Source organism: Homo sapiens, chromosome 2 (assembly GCF_000001405.40).
Source record: "Homo sapiens chromosome 2, GRCh38.p14 Primary Assembly".
Classification (NCBI taxonomy): Eukaryota; Metazoa; Chordata; class Mammalia; order Primates; family Hominidae; genus Homo; species Homo sapiens.
The window spans coordinates 184,916,457-184,935,353 of record NC_000002.12 but is presented as its reverse complement, the minus strand read 5'-3'; the positions used below and the strand labels follow the sequence as shown (position 1 = coordinate 184,935,353).

At 36.4% G+C, this 18,897-nt stretch overlaps 1 protein-coding gene across 1 annotated transcript in view; it reads right to left on the bottom strand.

The window, feature by feature from the left end:
- The window catches only part of ZNF804A (zinc finger protein 804A), a 340,964-nt gene that overhangs the window by 4,139 nt on the left and 317,928 nt on the right, over nucleotides 1-18,897 (bottom strand). Inside the window, exon 3 of the mRNA NM_194250.2 lies at nucleotides 1,621-1,751. Within this exon, the coding sequence (NP_919226.1) occupies nucleotides 1,621-1,751 (131 nt within the window). The remainder of the gene's footprint in view (nucleotides 1-1,620; nucleotides 1,752-18,897) is intronic.

Below are 18,897 nucleotides of genomic sequence, written 5' to 3'. Positions count from 1 at the left end.
GCAGAAAAGCTGGGAATTCAGTTGAACAATTCAATTCACCCAGCATTCACCAAGAGTCTACTATAGCCCAATTGGTATGGGCAAAGGTAACTAAGAGATAGTACTAGCTTTATGAGAGCTTTGACTCTTTTGAAATTGTTAGTCTCAATATTTAAAATTATCCTGAAGTTATACATTATATCATAACATGCAGTAAATGCAAGATAAAAGACAATTCACTTAAAATATAACTTATTTGGAATTACATTACACTGTAGTGAGTTCTGATGAAAAGAACTATACTGACAAACACATAAATATAAGAAACCCTAAACCTTATCCTTAGCAGAACTCTGTGTGAAGAAAATTCCTGCTATTCTAAAAATTCAGTGTTTTAAATATTATAAGTAGACAAGAAAATTTTAGTTGGATATTTCCTTTATCTAACCACTAACACAATGTATTGCTTCATTTAGCTTTATCTGCTAAGTAACAGAATGACTTCTTTTCCCATCTTTTGAAGCATAAAATTAATGGGAAAATCATGTATGTGTGGCTGTGTGTACATATAATGTAAAATATGTGCTTTATACTGAGGATAATAATTTAAATAAACAGTATTGCTTTTTGTGTATATCATTATTAGCTCTAGTTCACTTAATATATCATAATTTATATTTGCAAATGCTATTTGTAGAGCGTTAAGTTACATAGGTTCCATGATTCTCTATAGTTAAAATTTGTATAATTTTTTATTCATTACCACAAAAAGTAAACATATCTGATTAGTGTAACTGAACAGCAGTAACATCTGTTTTTAACAGTTGGATGTAGGATTCCAAATACATATACATTTTATTTTGGTTTTTACAAATTTGGCATCCCTAACAATGTTTCGATATGTCAACGTATCCCATAACATTATTCAGCAAAAAGTAGATTTGGAATGAAATAATTTTGATATAGACAATAATAAGAGAGGCTTTATTGATTGGAGAAACAAAGACTACTTTTAAAAAGTCTTCTTTTAATAACTTTGCCCTGGCTTGAATTGTAAAGTCTGAATTACAACACTGTTCACACCTAATAGCTGCTCACTGTTAGAAGCAGATCAAAGTTTAAAAGTTGTGAACCTCTAACAGCCCAGTTAGAATTTATTCACAGCGCACTTAATGTTGGTCTGCTTCTCAAGCAAAATTCTTATCCTTTTTTAGAAAAAGAATCTTAAACATAATTTTAAATAGAAGTTCTCCAAATTTTCATTTTAAAAAGTATCTCTAAAAACTCTTTTTGTTAAAAGGGTCATAAGATACTGCCTTGCTGTCTTCCTCAATCAAATGTTTGAGTATCACCAAGAAATGGGGTAGCTTTCAACTAAGATAACTTAAATAATAACATAAAGTTTATTTTTTAATCCAAAATTACAGTAATTTTGGCTTTTTACTGAAATGTGCATTAAACAGGTGTTTGCATAAAATTCTAATTCAAATTACTGTTTACAGCCTACAGAAGGCCATGAAAACATGTGTGCCTTATTCTGGGTACAGTAATAAATAGATTTGTGCCCTTTATTTCTGACTCCCCCTATACCCCTTTTTTGGTCATGTTTTAAGAAAACTTACAATTTCATTGGATACTCACCATACAGTTTCCTTTCTTAGCTCAGCCAGCTTGTGCAGGCGTTGGAGTGCCTTTTCCTGTTTTCTTTCATCTTTCCTGGATTTAGATGCTACATTTCGAGCAAATTCCCTTTGTTTCAGTTCCTTGAGCCTCTGTTAAAAAAAAGTTGGAAAATGATTAATTGTATTTTGGTCTATAGTAGTTTTAAAGTTTCATTGTTATTGTTGAAATTTTCCAATGCATCATCTTTGACCTTGTCGAGAGGTAAACACAACATTCATGACAATCCACTTCTAACAAAAATATTTTCTCGCATTTTGGCTTGTGAAAAAGCCAAAGCATATTATTACATCATAGTGAAATTTATATCTATGCCTTAGGCAAATTTTAATTGAAAACTTTAATCTCTTCTTATTGATCATTTCCTGCTGTTTCTCTGCGTAATTCAGATGAAGGATTCGTGCCTTATAAATCCCAAATTTACAAAAAAATTCAACTTGCTTATTGCTTATGTATTTCTGTTATATATAATATGTTTTCTTATATTTTGATGTACAGTATATTAGAAAGTTATCTGGTCCTTTGTGTCTGTGTGTGTGTGTGTGTGTGTGCGTGTGTGTGTGTAAGTGAAAAGTTTATTAGGAAAGTAAATGAATAAAGAGTGGCTACTCCATAGGCAGAGCAGCCCTTTTTGTGTGTTCTGAGAGTACATTATTTATGTTAATCCATAAGACAAATGATCTCTCCTGATGTGGTTTAAAACAATCCCTTCTCTCAAACAGCAGGCACGTTTCCAGAATAATTCAAGATATTGGAAGAAAATTGGTATTGTTTTTCTAGAAATTCTTACTACCTTGGGTATTATCTTTCATCTGTGTTAAAGAAGTTCATTTTCTGGGTTGATGGCAAGAAAAACAGCATGCCAACTCGAACATAATTGATAAATAGCCGTGTGTGTGGTATAATTTTGGAGACATCAAAGTTATCTTGTGCCACAAATATTTTCACTATGTACTTTCATGATGTGTACAGTTATTAAAAATAATAAAAGTACTATTTTCCCTAATGGTTCATGTTATTATGCAATTGTAATATGTCAGAATCTTGAGTAGGACTCACTTATACTAGTGATATAATGTGACTGTGTCCCCACCCAAATCTCATCTTGAATTGTAGCATCCATAATTCCCACGTGTGGTGCGAAGTACCCAGTGGGAGGTAATTGAATCATGGGGGCGGGTCTTTCCCATACTTTTATTGTGATAGTGAATGAGTCTCATGAGATCTGATGGTTTTATAAAGAGGAGTTTCCTTGCACATGCTCTCTTTCCTGCCTCCATGTAAGACGTGACTTTGCTCCTCCTTTGCCTTCCACCAAGATTGTGAGGCCTTTCTAGCCATGTGCAACTGTGAGTCAATTAAACCTCTTTCCTTTATACATTACCCAATCTCAGATGTGTCTTTACTGGCAGCATGAGAACTAATATGGTAAATTGGTGCTGGGTAGTGGGGTGCTGCTGTAAAGATACCTGCAAATGTGGAAGTGACTTTGGAACTGGGTAACAGACAGAGGTTGGAACAGTGTGGAGGGCTTAGAAGACAGGAAGATATGAGAAAGTTTGAAACCTCCTACAGACTTGTCAAATGGCTTAGACCAAAATTCTGATAGTGATATGGATAATAAAGTCCAGGCTGAGGTGGTCTCAGATGGAGATGAGGAACTTATTGGGAACTGGAATAAATGTTACTCTGTTACTCTTGTTATGCTTTAGCAAAAAGACTGATGACATTTTGCCCCTGCCCTAGAGATTTGTGAAACTTTTTGGAAGAAATTTCTAAGCAGTAAAGCATGCAAGAGGTGAGTTAGGGGCTGTTGAAAGCATTTGGTTTTATGTATTCACAAAGTTATTTTTTGGAATTAGAACTTATGTTTAAAAGGGAGGCAGAACATAAAAGTGGAAAATTTGCAGCCTGATGATGCGATAGAAAAGAAAAACCCATTTTCTGAGGAGAAATTCAAGCTGGCTGCGGAAATTTGCATAAGTAACAAGAAGTCAAATGTTAATGACCAAGACACTGGGGAAAAATATCTCCGAGGCATGTCAGGTTTCTTCACAGCAGCCTGTCCTGTCACAGGCCCAGAGGATTGGGAGGGAAAAATGGTTTTGTGGGCCAGACCCAGAGCCTTGCCACTTTGTGCAGTCTCAGGACTTACTGCCCTGCATCCTAGCCATGGATAAAAAGGGCCAATGTACAGCTCAGGCCATTGCTTCAGAGGGTGCAAGCCCGAAGTCTTGGTGGCTTACACATGGTGTTGAGCCTGTGGCTGCACCCAATTCAAGAATCAAAGTTTGGGAACCTCTGCCTAGATTTCACAGGATGTGTGAAAATGCCTGATGTCCAGGAAGAGGTGTGCTGTGGGGCAGAGCCCTCATGGAGAACCTCTGCTAGGGCCGTGCAGAAGGGAAATGTGAGTGGGATCCCCCACATAGAGTCCCCACTTGGGCACTGCTTAGTGGAGCTGTGAGAAGATGGCCACTGTCCTCCAGACAGCAGAATGGTAGATCCACCAACAGCTTATACCATGTGCCTGGAAAAACCACAGACACTCAACACCAGCTCGTGAAAGCAGCCAGGAAGAGGTCTTTCCCGTGCTGTTCTAGTGATAGTGAACAAGTCTCATGAGATCCAGTGGTTTTATAATGGGAAGATCCCCTGCACATGCTCTCTTGCCTGCTACCACATAAGACATGACTTTGCTCCTCCTTCACCTTCCACCATGATTGTGAGGACTCCCCAGCCATGTGGAACTGTGAGTCAAACCTCTTTACTTTATAAATTTCCCAGTTTCTGGTATGTCTTTATTAGCAGCATGAGAATGAACTAATACCACTAGTTACATTTTAAAAAACTAATTGGATAAAGTTTTAATAAATACCATATACATATGCACTTATGTGTACCAGGAACTTAGAACAATACCTGGTTTATAACATTTCTGTTCCATAAAAATTTTTAAATTATTGTGTAACTGATTTAGATCCTCCAAATTATAAATGTTCCATCTATTTTAAAAAGTTCATCACTATGAATAAATAACAGTAGGCTCCTAATGATTCTGGATTGTAAATCTGAATTTCCCCAACATAGCATGAGGTAGCTCAAATGACATATAACACTGACATAGTTTAAGCTTAAAATGATCTCTAATATTTAAATTGACATGATTTATAGAAAGTGTCCTTGTATGTGTATATATCTATATATTTTTGAATTTACACAAAGATATTTCAAGAATGCTCATTTGCACTGACATATTTGTGTAGGATAAGACTTTCCAGAGTAGAATTTAGATGAAAGATAAATCATGTCATAAATGTCTCAATTGTATAGATATTTCCCAGAAAGCAAAACTTTGAAATCATTTCCTTAATATGACTATTAAAATGGCTATAATTTTATCATATGCATCAAATTATTAATTGCTTTTCATAAAACAGGTGTAGAATTACAGTATAATAGGTCAAGAATATTTTGCTCATAAATTTTAGGTATACAGGGTCTTGGTCACTTTTATTTCTTAAAAACTTAAAGTAATATCAAGACTCATTCAACAGATAATTATTGAGCACTAGCAGCAGTCACTCTGTTAAAAGGCTGAGATTTTTTTTAATTAAAGAAAATATTTTTACTTTCATTGTGTGTTTCTATGAGTGTATATGTGGGCAAGTGTTGTGTATTTATGCGTATTTTACAGAAATAAGGAGTGAACATACACATTAAGAGATAACAGCAATCACTGGTTGGATTATTCTTACAGTGCCATGTGTGAAGAGAGAGAAGTGCTCAAGAAAATCCTAAATACAGCTACTTGGTAAAAGTGATATCTGTGCTGGGTTTTGAGGAATACAAATATTAACTAGAAAAAAAGGGTTGGATGTTGGGGATGAGAGTGTGTATCAGGGACCATGAACAACTTCGTACAAACACAAGAATCTAAGTTTTCTACAATAAGATGTAAAAGAAGTAAAATACCAGGTGAAATAAAGCAAGAAAGAGTTTTAATACCAGAGCTAATCAGCAGATAATCTTTGATTATTAGTTATAAATAGTTTTATTCCAAGAAGTACAGATAATTTATTTCCTACTGGTTCTTTAGAAAAGCTCTAGTCAACAAACCAAAAAGATAGACTTTACTGTTTTTAATAAAATCTTTAGTATAAAAGTTAATTGTTATTACATACTCACACATACACACACACACACATATATATAAACATATATAATACATAAAATACATGTAATAATCAATGATTACAAATAGTGGTTTTAAATTTCATTGGTAAGATAAAAGTGCAATGCTTCTAATGAAAAACAAATGAATGAAAAACAAACCGTATTTTCCAAAGAAAGCATGCAAAATGCCAGGACTTTCACTATTTACTGTTTCAAAGTAACCATTGAGGTTTAGAAATAATTTGGTTTCATTGACATAATCATTGAATATTGAGGAGTCAGTCAATTATTAAATGCCAATACTGTTGTTATTTGTAATATAAGTGACTGACAGGCATGGCTGGAAGCAGCTCCAGATTTAGATAACTGTGCCTATTTAAAATGTAAATTTAAAGAGGAGAGGCTAGATGGTAGAATAGAAGGCTCCACTAATCATCTTCCCCCCGCCCACAAGGATAACAATTTATCTACACAAAAAAGGCACCTTCATAAGAACTAAAAATGAAGTGAGTGTTCACAGTACCTGGGTTTAACTTCATTTCACTTAAAGAGGCACTGAAGAAGTAAGATAAACAGTCTTGAATAGCCAATGCCTCCCTTCTCCCAACCCCCAGAAGTGGCCATTCTGCATGAAGAGAAAAATCTGCACACTTGAGAGAGTGAGAGAGAAACAACTGTGAGACGTTATGTTGAACTCAGTGCTTTCCTGCCACAACAGAAAGCAAAATCGAACTGAACTCCACTGATGCTCACCTATGGAGGTAGTATTTAAACCAGCCCTAGCCAGAGGGGAATGGACCATCCCAGCAGTTGGAACTTGAGTTCCTGCAAGCCTTGCCACCTTGGGCCAGAGGGCTCTGGGGCTCTAAATAAAGTTCAGCTTTATTTATTTCAGCTTTATTTATTCAACTCGCGGCAGTCTAGACTGCAACTCCTAGGCAAGTGCTATTGCTGAACTGGGCTCAGAGCCAGTGGTCTGGAGGGGCACATAACAAACTGAATAACAGTTTGGCTAAGGGAGGGCTGATGCCACTCCTCCCCCTCCCCTAACCCCAGGCTGCAGAGCTCATGGCTCCTAAAAGATCCCTTCATTCTGCTTGAAGAGAGATAGGGGAGGGGAGAGGAGGAGAGGAGAGAGAAGAGCAGGGAGGACTTTGTCTTGCATCTTAAGATACCATCTCACTCACCGCAGGAAAGAGTACCAGTCAGAATTGTGAAACCCTCTTTCCAGGTCCCAGCTTCAGGAAAACATTTCTAAACACACGCTGGGCTAGAAGGAAACTTACTGTCTTGAAGGGAAGGACCTAGTTTTGGCAGAATTGATCACTTGCTAACTGAAGAGCCCTTGGGTCCTGAATAACCAGCAGCAATACCCAGGTAGTACTTCGTGGGCCTCGTGTGAGACTCTGTGACTTCCTGGCTCCCAGTGAAACTCAGCATATTCCCAGTTGTGGTGGATATGGGGAGAGACTTCCTCTGCTTGAGAAAAGTAGAGAGAAGGAAAGGGGACTTTGTCTTGCACCTTAGCTACAAGCTCTGCCACAGGGAGATAGAGCACCAAATGATCTCTTGGGGTCCCTGAATCCAGGATTTGGCTTTTGCATGGCATTTCTGGATCCGCCTTGGGCCAGAGGGGAGCCCACTGCCCTGAAGGTTGAGCCCCAGGCCAGGCAGTATTCACCACAAACTGAACGAAGAGCTTTTGACTCTTAAGGAAATAGCAGTTGCCTGATAGTTTTCCCTATGGGCCTGTGATGGTGGTGGCCATGGGGTGAGGCTCCTCTGCCTTAGGAAATGGGAGGCATAAATGGGAAGGACTACATCTTGTGGTTTGAGTGCCAGCTCAGCGACAGTACAATGGAACACCAGGTAGACTTCTAAAGTTTTTGATTCTGGACCCTGGCTTTAAGACATAACCTCTGGACCCACCTGGGGCCTGAAGGAACTTGATTCCCTAAAGGGAAGGACATAGGACACCAGCCATTAGTAAAGCCCCAAGGCTTTGAGTGAAGAGGAGCCAGGTAGTGGCTACAGCAGGCTTTGGGTAAGACCCAATGCTGTGCTGGCTTCAGGTCTGACCCAGTGCAATCCCAGTGGTGGTGGCCACAGGGGTGTTTATGACACTCCACCCCTAGCTCCAGCCAGCTCAGAACTGAGAGAGAGAGAGACTCCATTTGTTTGGAAGAAAGTAAGGGAAAAGAACAGGAGTCTTTGTCTGGTAATCCAGATAATTCTTTTGGATCTTGTCCAAGACCTTGGAGGTGGTATCTCTGAATCTACAAGAGCCACAGAACTACTGGGCTTGGGGTGCCCCCTAATGTAGATACAGCTTAGTTCACAACATACAGTCCTTTCGGACCTGGAAAAACCTTCTAAAAGTATAAGTACAAACAAGCCCAAACTGTGAAGACAATAAATACCTAACTCTTCGATGACCAGACATGGACAGATATTCCTAAGTATTAAGACCAACCAGGAAAACATGATCTCATCAAAGGAACCAAATAAGACATGATGGACCAATCTTGAAGAAACAGGCATATGTGACTCTTCAGACAGAGAATTCAAAATGGCACTTGTGAGGAAACTCAAAAATATTGATGATAAGAAAGAAGGAATTCAGAATTCTACAAGCTAAATTTAACAAAGAGAGTGACATAATTAAAGCAAGCAGAAATTCTGGAGCTGAAAAATGCAATTGGCAAACTAAAGAATGCATCAGAGTTTCTTAAAAACAATTGATCTATCAGAAGAAAAAATTAGTGAGCTTGAAGATAGGCTATTTAAAAACACGAAGTCAGAGGAGACAAAAGCAAAAGGTTAAAAAACAATAAATCACACCTACAGGATCCGGAAAATACCCTCAAAAGGGACAATCTAAGAGTTTTTGGCCTTAAATAGGATCTTAAGCAAGAGATGGGGATACAAGGTTTATCCAAAGGGATAATAAAAGTGAACTCCCCAAACCTAAAAAAAAGTTACCAATATCCAAGTAAAAGAAGGTTATAGAACACCATGAAGATTTAACCTAAAGAAGACTACCTCAAGGCATTTAATAATCAAACTCCCAAAGATCAAGGAAAAAGAAAGGATCCTAAAAGCAGCAAGAAAGAAGAAACAAATAATATAATATGGAGGTCCAACATGTCCAGTAGCAGCCATTTCAATGGAAACTGTACAGGCTAGGAGAGAGTGGTATGATGTATTTAAAGTGCTTAAGGAAAAAAAAAAAAATTTACCCTAGAATAGTAAACCTGCTTAAAATATCCTTCAAACAGGTAGGAGAAATAGCAACTTTCCCAATCAAAAGCTGAGGGGTTTCATCAATAGCAGATTGTCCCACAAGAAATGTTAAAGGGAGTGCTTCAGTTAGAAAGAAAAGGTTGTTAATGAGCAATAAGAAATCATCTGAAGATACAATATTCACTGGTAATAGTAAGTACACAGAAAAACATGTAACACTGTAACACTGTAACAGTGGTGTATAAACTACTCTTAAATAGAAAGGTTAAATGATGAAACAATCAAAAACAACAACTACAGCAACTTTTAAAGATATACATAAGATAGAGCGAGACTCCATCTCCAAAAAGAAAAGAATAAAAAAGATATAGATAAGATTAAAACAGAAACAACAAAAAATAAAATAGGAGGGGAACAAAGTTATAGCGTAGGGTTCTTATTAGTTTTATTTTTGCTTGTTTGCTCACGTTTGTTTGTGTAAAAACTGTTAAGTTGTTAGCTTAAAACAGTGGGTTATAAGAGACTATTTGCAAGCCTTATACTAACCTCAAATTTAAAAATATACAATTAAAACACAACAAATAAAAATAAAGAAATTAATTCACATCACCCAAGAAAATTACCTTTACTGAAAGAAGGACAGGAAGGAAAGAAAGAAGAAAGAGAAGACTACAACAAAACCAGAAAACAACTAACAAAATGGCAGCAGTAAGTTCTTACTTATCAATAATAACATTAAGCATACATGGACTAAACTCTCCAATCAAAAGACAGAATGGCTAAATTAATTTTTTTAAAAAAACCCGAGATCCAATAATCTGTTACCTACAAGAAACACACTTCACCTATAAAAACACACACAGAGTGAAAATGAAAGGATGGGAAAAGTTATCCCATGACAATGGAAACCAAGAAAGGATAGGAGTAGCTATAGTTATATGAGATAAACAGATTCGATGACAACAACTATAAGAAAAGACAAAGAAGGTCACTATATAACGACAAAAAGATCAAATCAACAAGAAGATATAACAAATGTAAATATATATGCACCCAACACTGAAGCACCAAGATTTATAAAGCAAACATTAGAGCTAAATAGAGAGCTACACCTCAGTACAATAACAGCTGGAGAGACTTTAACATCCACTTTCAGCATTGCACGAATATTCCAGAGAGAAAATCAGCAAAGAAACTTTGGACTTAACCTGTACTATAAATGAACTTAATAGATATTTACGACACATTTCATCCAACAGCTACAGAATACACATTCTTTTCTTCATTATATGGATCATTCTCAAGAGTAGACCATATGTCACATCACAAAACAAATCTTAAAACATCAAAAAAAATTGAAATAATATCAAGCATCTTCTCTGACACAATGGAATAAAACCAGAAATCAATAAAAGGAGGAATTTTGGAAACTATACAAATAAAGGAAAATGAAACAATATGCTCCTTAATGATCAGTAGGTCAATAAAGAGATAAAGAAGGAAATTGAAACACTTCTTTAATCAAATGATAACGGAAACGTAACATACAAAAATCTATGGGATACAACCAAAGCACTACTAAGAGGAAAGTTTACAGCAAACTAAAAAAGAAGACAACTTCAAATAACCTAAGAATTCATCTTAAATAACTAGAAAACAAAAGCAAGCCATACCCAAAATTAGTAGAAGAAAAAAAAATAAAGATTAGAGTGGAAATAAATGAATATGAAGTAAAGGAAACAATACAAAACATCAATGAAATAAAAAGAAGGTTTTTTTAAAAAGTTAAACAAAATTGACAATTTTGGCCAGACTAAGAAAAAAAAGAGAGAAGATCCAAATAAAATGAGAGATGTAAAAGGAGAGATTGCAACAGATACCATATAAATTTAAAAGACTATTAGTGGCTACTATGAGCAACTACATGTAAATATATTGAAAAATCCAGAAGAAATGCACAAATTCCTAGACATATACAAGCTACTGAACCATGAAGAACTCCAAAACTCAAACAGACCAGTAACAAGTAACGAGATGGAAGCCATAATAAAAAGCCTCCTAGTAAGAAAAATCCCAGCACCTGATGACTTTACTACTGAATTGAACCAAGCATTTAAAGAACTAGTAGCAATCCTACTCAGACTATCTGAAAAAATAAATAAGAAGGGAATACTTCCAAACTCCTCCTATAAGACCGTATTGCCCTGATACCAAAACCAGGAAAAGACACACTGAAAACATACACACACACACACACACACACACAAAACAAAACTACATGTCAACATCACTGATGACTACTGATACAAAAATCCTCAACAAATACTAGCAAACTGAATTAACACATTAAAATGGTTATTCATCATGACCAAGAGGAATGTATCCCAGGGAGACAAGGATGATTTAACACAGGCAAGTCAATCAGTGTGATACATCATATCAACAGGATGAAGAACAAAAACCATATAATTGTTTCAAATGATGCTGAAAAAGTGTTTGATAAAATTGAACATCTCTTTCTGACAAAAGCCCTCAAAAAACTGGGTTTAGAAGGAGCATACCTCAACATAATAAAAGCCATATACCACAGACCCACAGCTAGTATCGTACTGAATGAGGAAAAAACTGAAAACCTTTTCTTTGTGATCTGGACCACGACAAGAATGACCACTGTCATCACTGTTATTCAACAGAGTACTGAAATCCTAGCTAGAGCAATCAATCAGACAAGAGAAAGAAATAAAAGGCATCCAAATTGGAAAGGAAGAAGCCATGTTATCTTTGTTCCAGATGATATAATCTTATACCTGGAAAAAACTAAAGATGCCACCAAAAAGCTTTTAGAGCTGATGAACAAATTCAGTAAAGTTTCAGGATATAAAATCAACATACAAAAATCAGTAGCAATTTTATATACCAACAATTAAAATTCAGAAAAAGAAATTAAGAAAGTAATTTCATTTGCAATAGCTCCAAATAAAATAAAATACCTCAGACTTAACCAAAGAAGTAAAAGATTTATACAATAAAAAACTATAAAACATTGATGTAAGAAATTGAAGAGGACTCCAAAAAGTAGAAATGTATTCCATTTTCATGGATTGAAAGAACCAATATTGTTAAAATGTACATACTACCCAAAGTAATCTACAGATTTAATGCAATTCATATTAAAATACCAATGATATTATTCACATAAATAAAAATCATAAAATGTATATGGAACCACAAAAGACCCAGAATAACCAAAGTTGTCTAAAGCAAAAGGAACAAAACTGGAGGAATCACATTACTTGGCTTAAATTATAATACAGAGCTAAAGTAACCAAAATGGCATGGTATTGGCATAAAAAAGACAGACCAATGGAATAGAATGGGGAACCCAGAAATAAATCCATACATCTACAGTGAACTCACTTTCAACAAAGTTTCAAAGAACATACATTGGGGAAATGACAGTCTCTTCAATAAATTGCACTGAGAAAACTAGGTATCCATATGCAGAAGAAAGAAATTAGACTCCTATTTTTTGCCATATGCAAAAATCCCACCAAATAAAACTAAAAGAAAACACTGGGGAAACTCTTCAGGACATTGGAGTAGGCAAAGACTTCTTGAGCAATAACTCACAGACCCAGACAATCAAAGGAAACATGGACAAATAGGGCCACATCAAATTAAAAAGCTTCTGCACAGCAAAGAAAACAATTAACAAACTGAAGAGACAACTCACAGAATGGCAGAAAACATTTGCAAACTACCCATCTGACAAGGCATTAATAACCAAAATATAAAAGGAGCTCAAACAACTCTATAAGAAAAAAATCAAATAATCAGATTAAAAAATAGGCAAAATATCTAAATAGACATTTCCCAAAAGACATAAAAATGACAAACAGGAAGTGAAAATGTGCTCAACATCATTGACTATTAGAGAAATGTATATCAAAACTGCAATGAGACATCATCCCACTCCAGTTAAAATGGTTTTTATCCAAAAGATAAGCAATAAAAAATGCTAGTGAAGACATGGAGGAAAAGGAACCCTTGTACACTGTTAGGAAGAATGCAAATTTGTACAACCACTCTGGAGAACAGTAACTTAAAAAACTAAAAATAGAGCTACCATACAATCCAGCAATCTCACTATACACAAAAGAAAGGAAACCAGTATATTGAAGACATATCTGTGCACTCATGTTTATTGCAGCACTATTCACAATAGTAAAGATTTGGAAGCAGCCTAAGTCTCCATCAGCAGATAAATGGAAAAAGAAAATATGGTACATAAACACATAAATTATCATTCAGCCATAGAAAATACAGAGATCCTGTCATTTGCAACCACATGGATGGAACTGGAGATCACTGTCTTAAGTGAAATAAGCCAGGCACTGAAAGACAAACACCACACATTCTCACTTATCTATGGGAGATAAAAATTAAACTCACGGAGATGGAGAGTAGAAGGATGGTTACCAGAACCTGGAAAGTGTAGCTGGGGGTAGGGTAAGTGGGGGATATTTAATGGGTACAAAAGTACGGTTAGAATAAGTAACTCCTAGTATTTTTGAGCACAAAAAGGTGACTATAGCAGAAAAATAATTTAATTGTACATTTAAAAATAAAAGTAACTGGATTGCTTGAAACACAAAGGATAAATGCTTAAGGTGAGGGATACCCTATGTACTCTGATGTAATTCTTATGCATTGCATGCCTGTGTCAAAATATCTTATGTGAGCCATAAATATATATACCTACTACGTATCCACCAAAAATAAAAATTACAATTAAAAAATAAACAAAATGTAAATGTGTCAATATTGTAGAGGCTGTCCAAAAGCACTATGCTACATCCAGGTGATTGTACTAATCTTGATCTTCTATGCACAAATACTTCTCTTATTTTTGTGACAGACTTCCTGATACCAAGGTAAAAAAAAACTCACCTAATATTTTGATAATATTCAACTGCTTTGAGACCTGGCCAAATACTTTGTAGAGTTTTAAAACTAGAATTTACCAGTGTTAATGTTTTTTCTTATATTTTTCTGAAACAAGAATAAAGTTCCATGTCATATTTACATCTAGAAAAGTAATTTTGAGAGGTGAATAATAGAAATCAAGTATAGTTACACTCCAAATAATAACACTTTGGTCAATGATGGACTGCATATAGAAATGTGGTCCCACCAACCAGGCCAATATGGTAAAACTCCGTTTCTATTAAAAATACAAAAATTTCAAATAAAGTGATTAGGGAAGGTGTATGAATTTTCTATTTTGGTGTAACAAATTACCACAAATTTAGCAGCTTAGCCCACATTTATTCCATGGTCTGCATACCTGTCCTTTCATCAATCAAGAAGTTGGCTAAGGTGTATTTTCATCGGGAGGATTGTCTGTGGAAAATGTCCACTTCCAAGCTTTCTAATGCTATTGGTGGAATTCATTTCCTTGTGGTAGTAGGACTGAGAGCCTGGGCTTCTTATTGGCTGTCAGCCAAGGCCATTCCAAGCAACTAGAGGCTGCCAGCAGTTTCTTGTCCCTGGGGTTTTTCATAAGACCCACTGAAATCATGACAGCTTATTTAAAGTTATCAAGGAAGTGTCTCTCTCTCTCTCCATTCTGCTAAGTATATAAAGCAACCTAGTCAATGGAGTGTTATCTCACCAATTTTTCGTGTTTTGTCAGTTAGAAAAAAGTCACAGTTTCCATCCACATACAAGGGAAGGGAATTATATAAAGGCATGACTCATTGGGAAGCACTTTAGAGTGTGTTAACCATAGAGGTCCGCATTGAGAAGGTGACATTTGAAAATAGACATTTAAGAAACGTAAAGTAACCCAAACAGATATCTCAGGGAAAACTCTCCAGACAGAGAGATCATTCAGAATGAAATAATAAAGAATTTGCAAGTCATTTTTGTTCTGACCACTGCTCATAGTCGCATGGTAGCACAGATGCCCTTTAACTGCAAGTTTTAAAAGAGTGGGGAAAAGAAGAATTCTCTGAACCACAACACTGGGCAAGTGACATTTGACAGAGGAAAAGAAAACTCAGGCCTGATTTATAGATGGTCCTGTATGACATGCAGGCACCATTTGAAATAGATAGCTGCAGCACTACAGGTTTTTTGTTTGTTTGTTTGTTGTTTTTTAGATGGAATCTCACTCTGTTTCCCAGGCTGGAGTGCAGTGGTGCAATCTAGGCTCACCGCAACCTCCTCCTCCCAGGTTCAACTGATTCTCCTGCCTCAGCCTCCCGAGTAGATGGAACTACATGCACATGCCATCATGCCAAGCTAATTTTTATATTATTAGTAGAGATGGATTTCACCATGTTAGCCAGGCTAATCTCTAACTCCTGACCTCAGGTGATCCACCCATCTCAGCCTCCCGAAGTGCTGGGATTACAGGCATAAGCCACCATGACCAGCCTACAGTTCTTTTTTGCAACTACCCTGAAGAGCACTGATGACAGGAATTTCTCACAATGGGAAGAACATCAAGTAGTGAATTTTGTTGTTCATTGTTTTTGGAAGGAGAAATACTGAGATGTAAAATTATATACCAGTTCATGAGCTGTGGCCAATGGGTTGGCTGGATGGTTAGAAACTTGCAAGAAACATGATTTAAAAATTGGTAACAAGAAGGATTGGGTATGTGGATAGACTTCTGTGAATGGGAGAAAAACAGGAAGACGTTTGTGTCCCACATAAATGCTCATCAAAAGGTCACCTCAGCAGAGAAGAATTTTAATAATCAGGTAGATAGCCTCTTTCCCCGGCTGCCTGTGTCACTGCCCAATGAACTCATGAACAAAGAGGCCATGGTGGCAGGAACAGGGGTCATACATGGGCTCAGCAATGTGGACTTCCACTCACCAAGGTTGACCTGGCTATGGCCATCATTGACAGCCCAATGCCAGCAGCGACAGAGACCACCACTGACCCCTGATACAGCACTATTCCCTGGAATGATCAGCCAGCTGCCTGGTGGCAGGTTGAGTACATTGGATGGCTTTCATCATGAAAGGGGCAGTGTTACCTTCTTCCTGGAATAGAAATTTACTCTGGGTATGGATTTGCCCTCCCTGCACTCAATGATTCTCACAAAACTATCATCTGTGGATTAGCTTATCTGCATTTATGATATTCCACACACAGCATTTCTCTAATCAAGGTACTCACTTCACAAATGAAGAATAGCAATGGGCCCAGGCTTAAGAAATTAACTTCTCTTACCATGTTTTCTACCACCCTGAAGAAACTGGTTTGATAGAATGGTAGAATGGCCTTTTGAAAGTTTAATTACATAGGAAATTCTTCAAAAAACCAAAGAATGGGTGAAAAAAGATATTTTTCTCTCCTTATTTGTTGAAACAGGCACTTTACACTAAACACTTAGTTTAATGTGGTATGGTGGTTTCTAGTTTGGAATACCATAATATATATACCCCTCCCCTACTGGTGGATGTCTAGGTTGTTTCTGATTCCCATTATTACAAATAAGTGTATAGTAAAGTCTTTTTACATAAACCTTTGTATATGTGCAAGTATCTCTGAAGGATAAATTACTTAAAAGGAAAAATTGTTAGAACAAAGCATATATATGGATTTTTAATTTAAATTTTAAAATAAATACTGTTTGATTACCCTCATCCACCCCAAAAAAGAAAATTCAGTTTCAACTCCAGCCAGGTGGCAATACCAGGCAGGGTTTTGGTAAGACTCTCCAGAAAGCTGTATATGTTCTGAATTAGCATCCAATATATGATGATGTTTTCCTTACAGCCAGGATTCATCAGCCCAGGAATCAAGAGGTGAACATGGGACAGGCACACTCCCTATTACCACTATTGATTTACTTACTAGCAAATTTTTGGCTTCCTATTTATGCCACCTTATGTTCTGTTGGTCTAGAAGTCTTAGTTCCAAAGGAAGGAATGCTTCCATCAAGAGACATATTAATTATTCCACTGAACTGGAAGTTAAGACAGAGTGGGTTAAGCTACAGCTATCCACTTTGGGCTCCTTATGTCTCTGAATCAACAGGCAAAGGAGGGAGTTACTGTGCTGGGTGAGGTGATTGATTTTGATTACCAAGGGGAAATTGGACTGCTACTGCACAATGGAGGTAAGGAAGATCATATCTGGAATACAGGACATCCCATAGGGCATATCTTAGTATTACCATTTCCTGTGACTGACATCAATGGAAAAATACAACAATTCAGGCATGACTAATAATGGACAAGACCCTCAAAAATGAAGTCTTGAGGCATCCCACTAGTCAAGGAATGACTATCAATTGAGGTGCTTGTTGAGGATAAAGGGAGTGGGTAATAGAAGAAAGCATTTGTAAATACTGGCAATAACCATGTGGCCAGTTACAGAAATGAGGACTTCAATTGACATGAGAATATTTTCCTTATTTTATATAAGTATTTGTGTGTGTGTGTGTGTGTGTGTGTGTGTATGTGCTAGTTATGCCTTATCTGCATGGGATACATTCCAAAAGCCCCAGTGGATGCCTAAAACCACATATAATACCAAATCTTATATTTACTGTATTTTCCTATATATATACACACACACACACCTATGATAGTTTAATTTATAAACTAGGCACAGTAAGATTAACGATAACTAATAATAAACAATTATAACAATATACTGTAATATACGTTTTGGGAATATGGTCTTTTTTTCAGAATATCTGATTGTACTATACTCATCTATTTTCAGAACACAGTTGACCATGAGTAACTAAAACTGCAAGGGGATAAACTGTATACACACACACACATATTTGTTTTTCTTTTTATCCTTTTATGATATGACATAATATGTATTGAATAACATCATAGTATCTAAGTATTGTTAATTTTACATCATAGTATTTAAGTTACAGGATATTAAGGAGAAAAGTGAACATTACCCAATGACTTTAAATTATCTTCTGGGGAAGGGATTGGTATCTTTTGGGTTGTATGCAGGATAGCTGTATCATGTTAGACAGAGTGTGACCTTGTTATTACATTTATTTGGAGATTAATTTTGGGTTAAAGGGATGTGTATGGGTGCCAGGTTAACTTAGAAGGAGGTGAACTTGTGATGGTTAATTGCATGTGTCAACTTGACTAGTCCATGGTATCTATATATTGGTCAAACACCAGTCTAGATTTTACTGTGAAAATATTTTTTAGATAATATCGATATTTAAATCAGTAGACTTTGAGTGAAGTAGATTACCCTCCATAATATGGTGAGCCTCATTTAATCAATTGAAGCAGAGCAGAAAAATCAATAGATTCCTAGTCCTTAATAGCATCACTGAATTACAGCATCAGCCTTTGACAGATTACCTATGCATTTTTTTTTCTTTTTCTGTTTTTGTTTTGTTTTGTTTTGTTTTTTTGTTTGAGATGGAGTCTTACTCTGTCTCCCAGGCTGGAGTGCAGTGGTGTAATCTCAGCTCATTGGAGCCTCTGCCTCCTGGGTTCAAGCGATTCTCCTGCCTCAGCCTCCCAAGTAGCTGTGACTATAGGCACACGCCACCATGCCCAGCTAATTTTTGTATTTTCAATAGAGACGGGGTTTCACCATGTTGACCAGGATGGTCTCCATCTCTTGACCTCATGATCCACCCGCCTTGGCCTCCCAAAGTGCTGGGATTGCAGGCGTCAGCCACCGTGCCAGGCCAATCTTTTTAGAGTCAACTTTGAAATTTCTCTTATTTACAGTTGAATGTAATCTTATCATAGATATTCACTTACTGGATATTGTTCCTGGATAATTCTCTTTATATTTTTA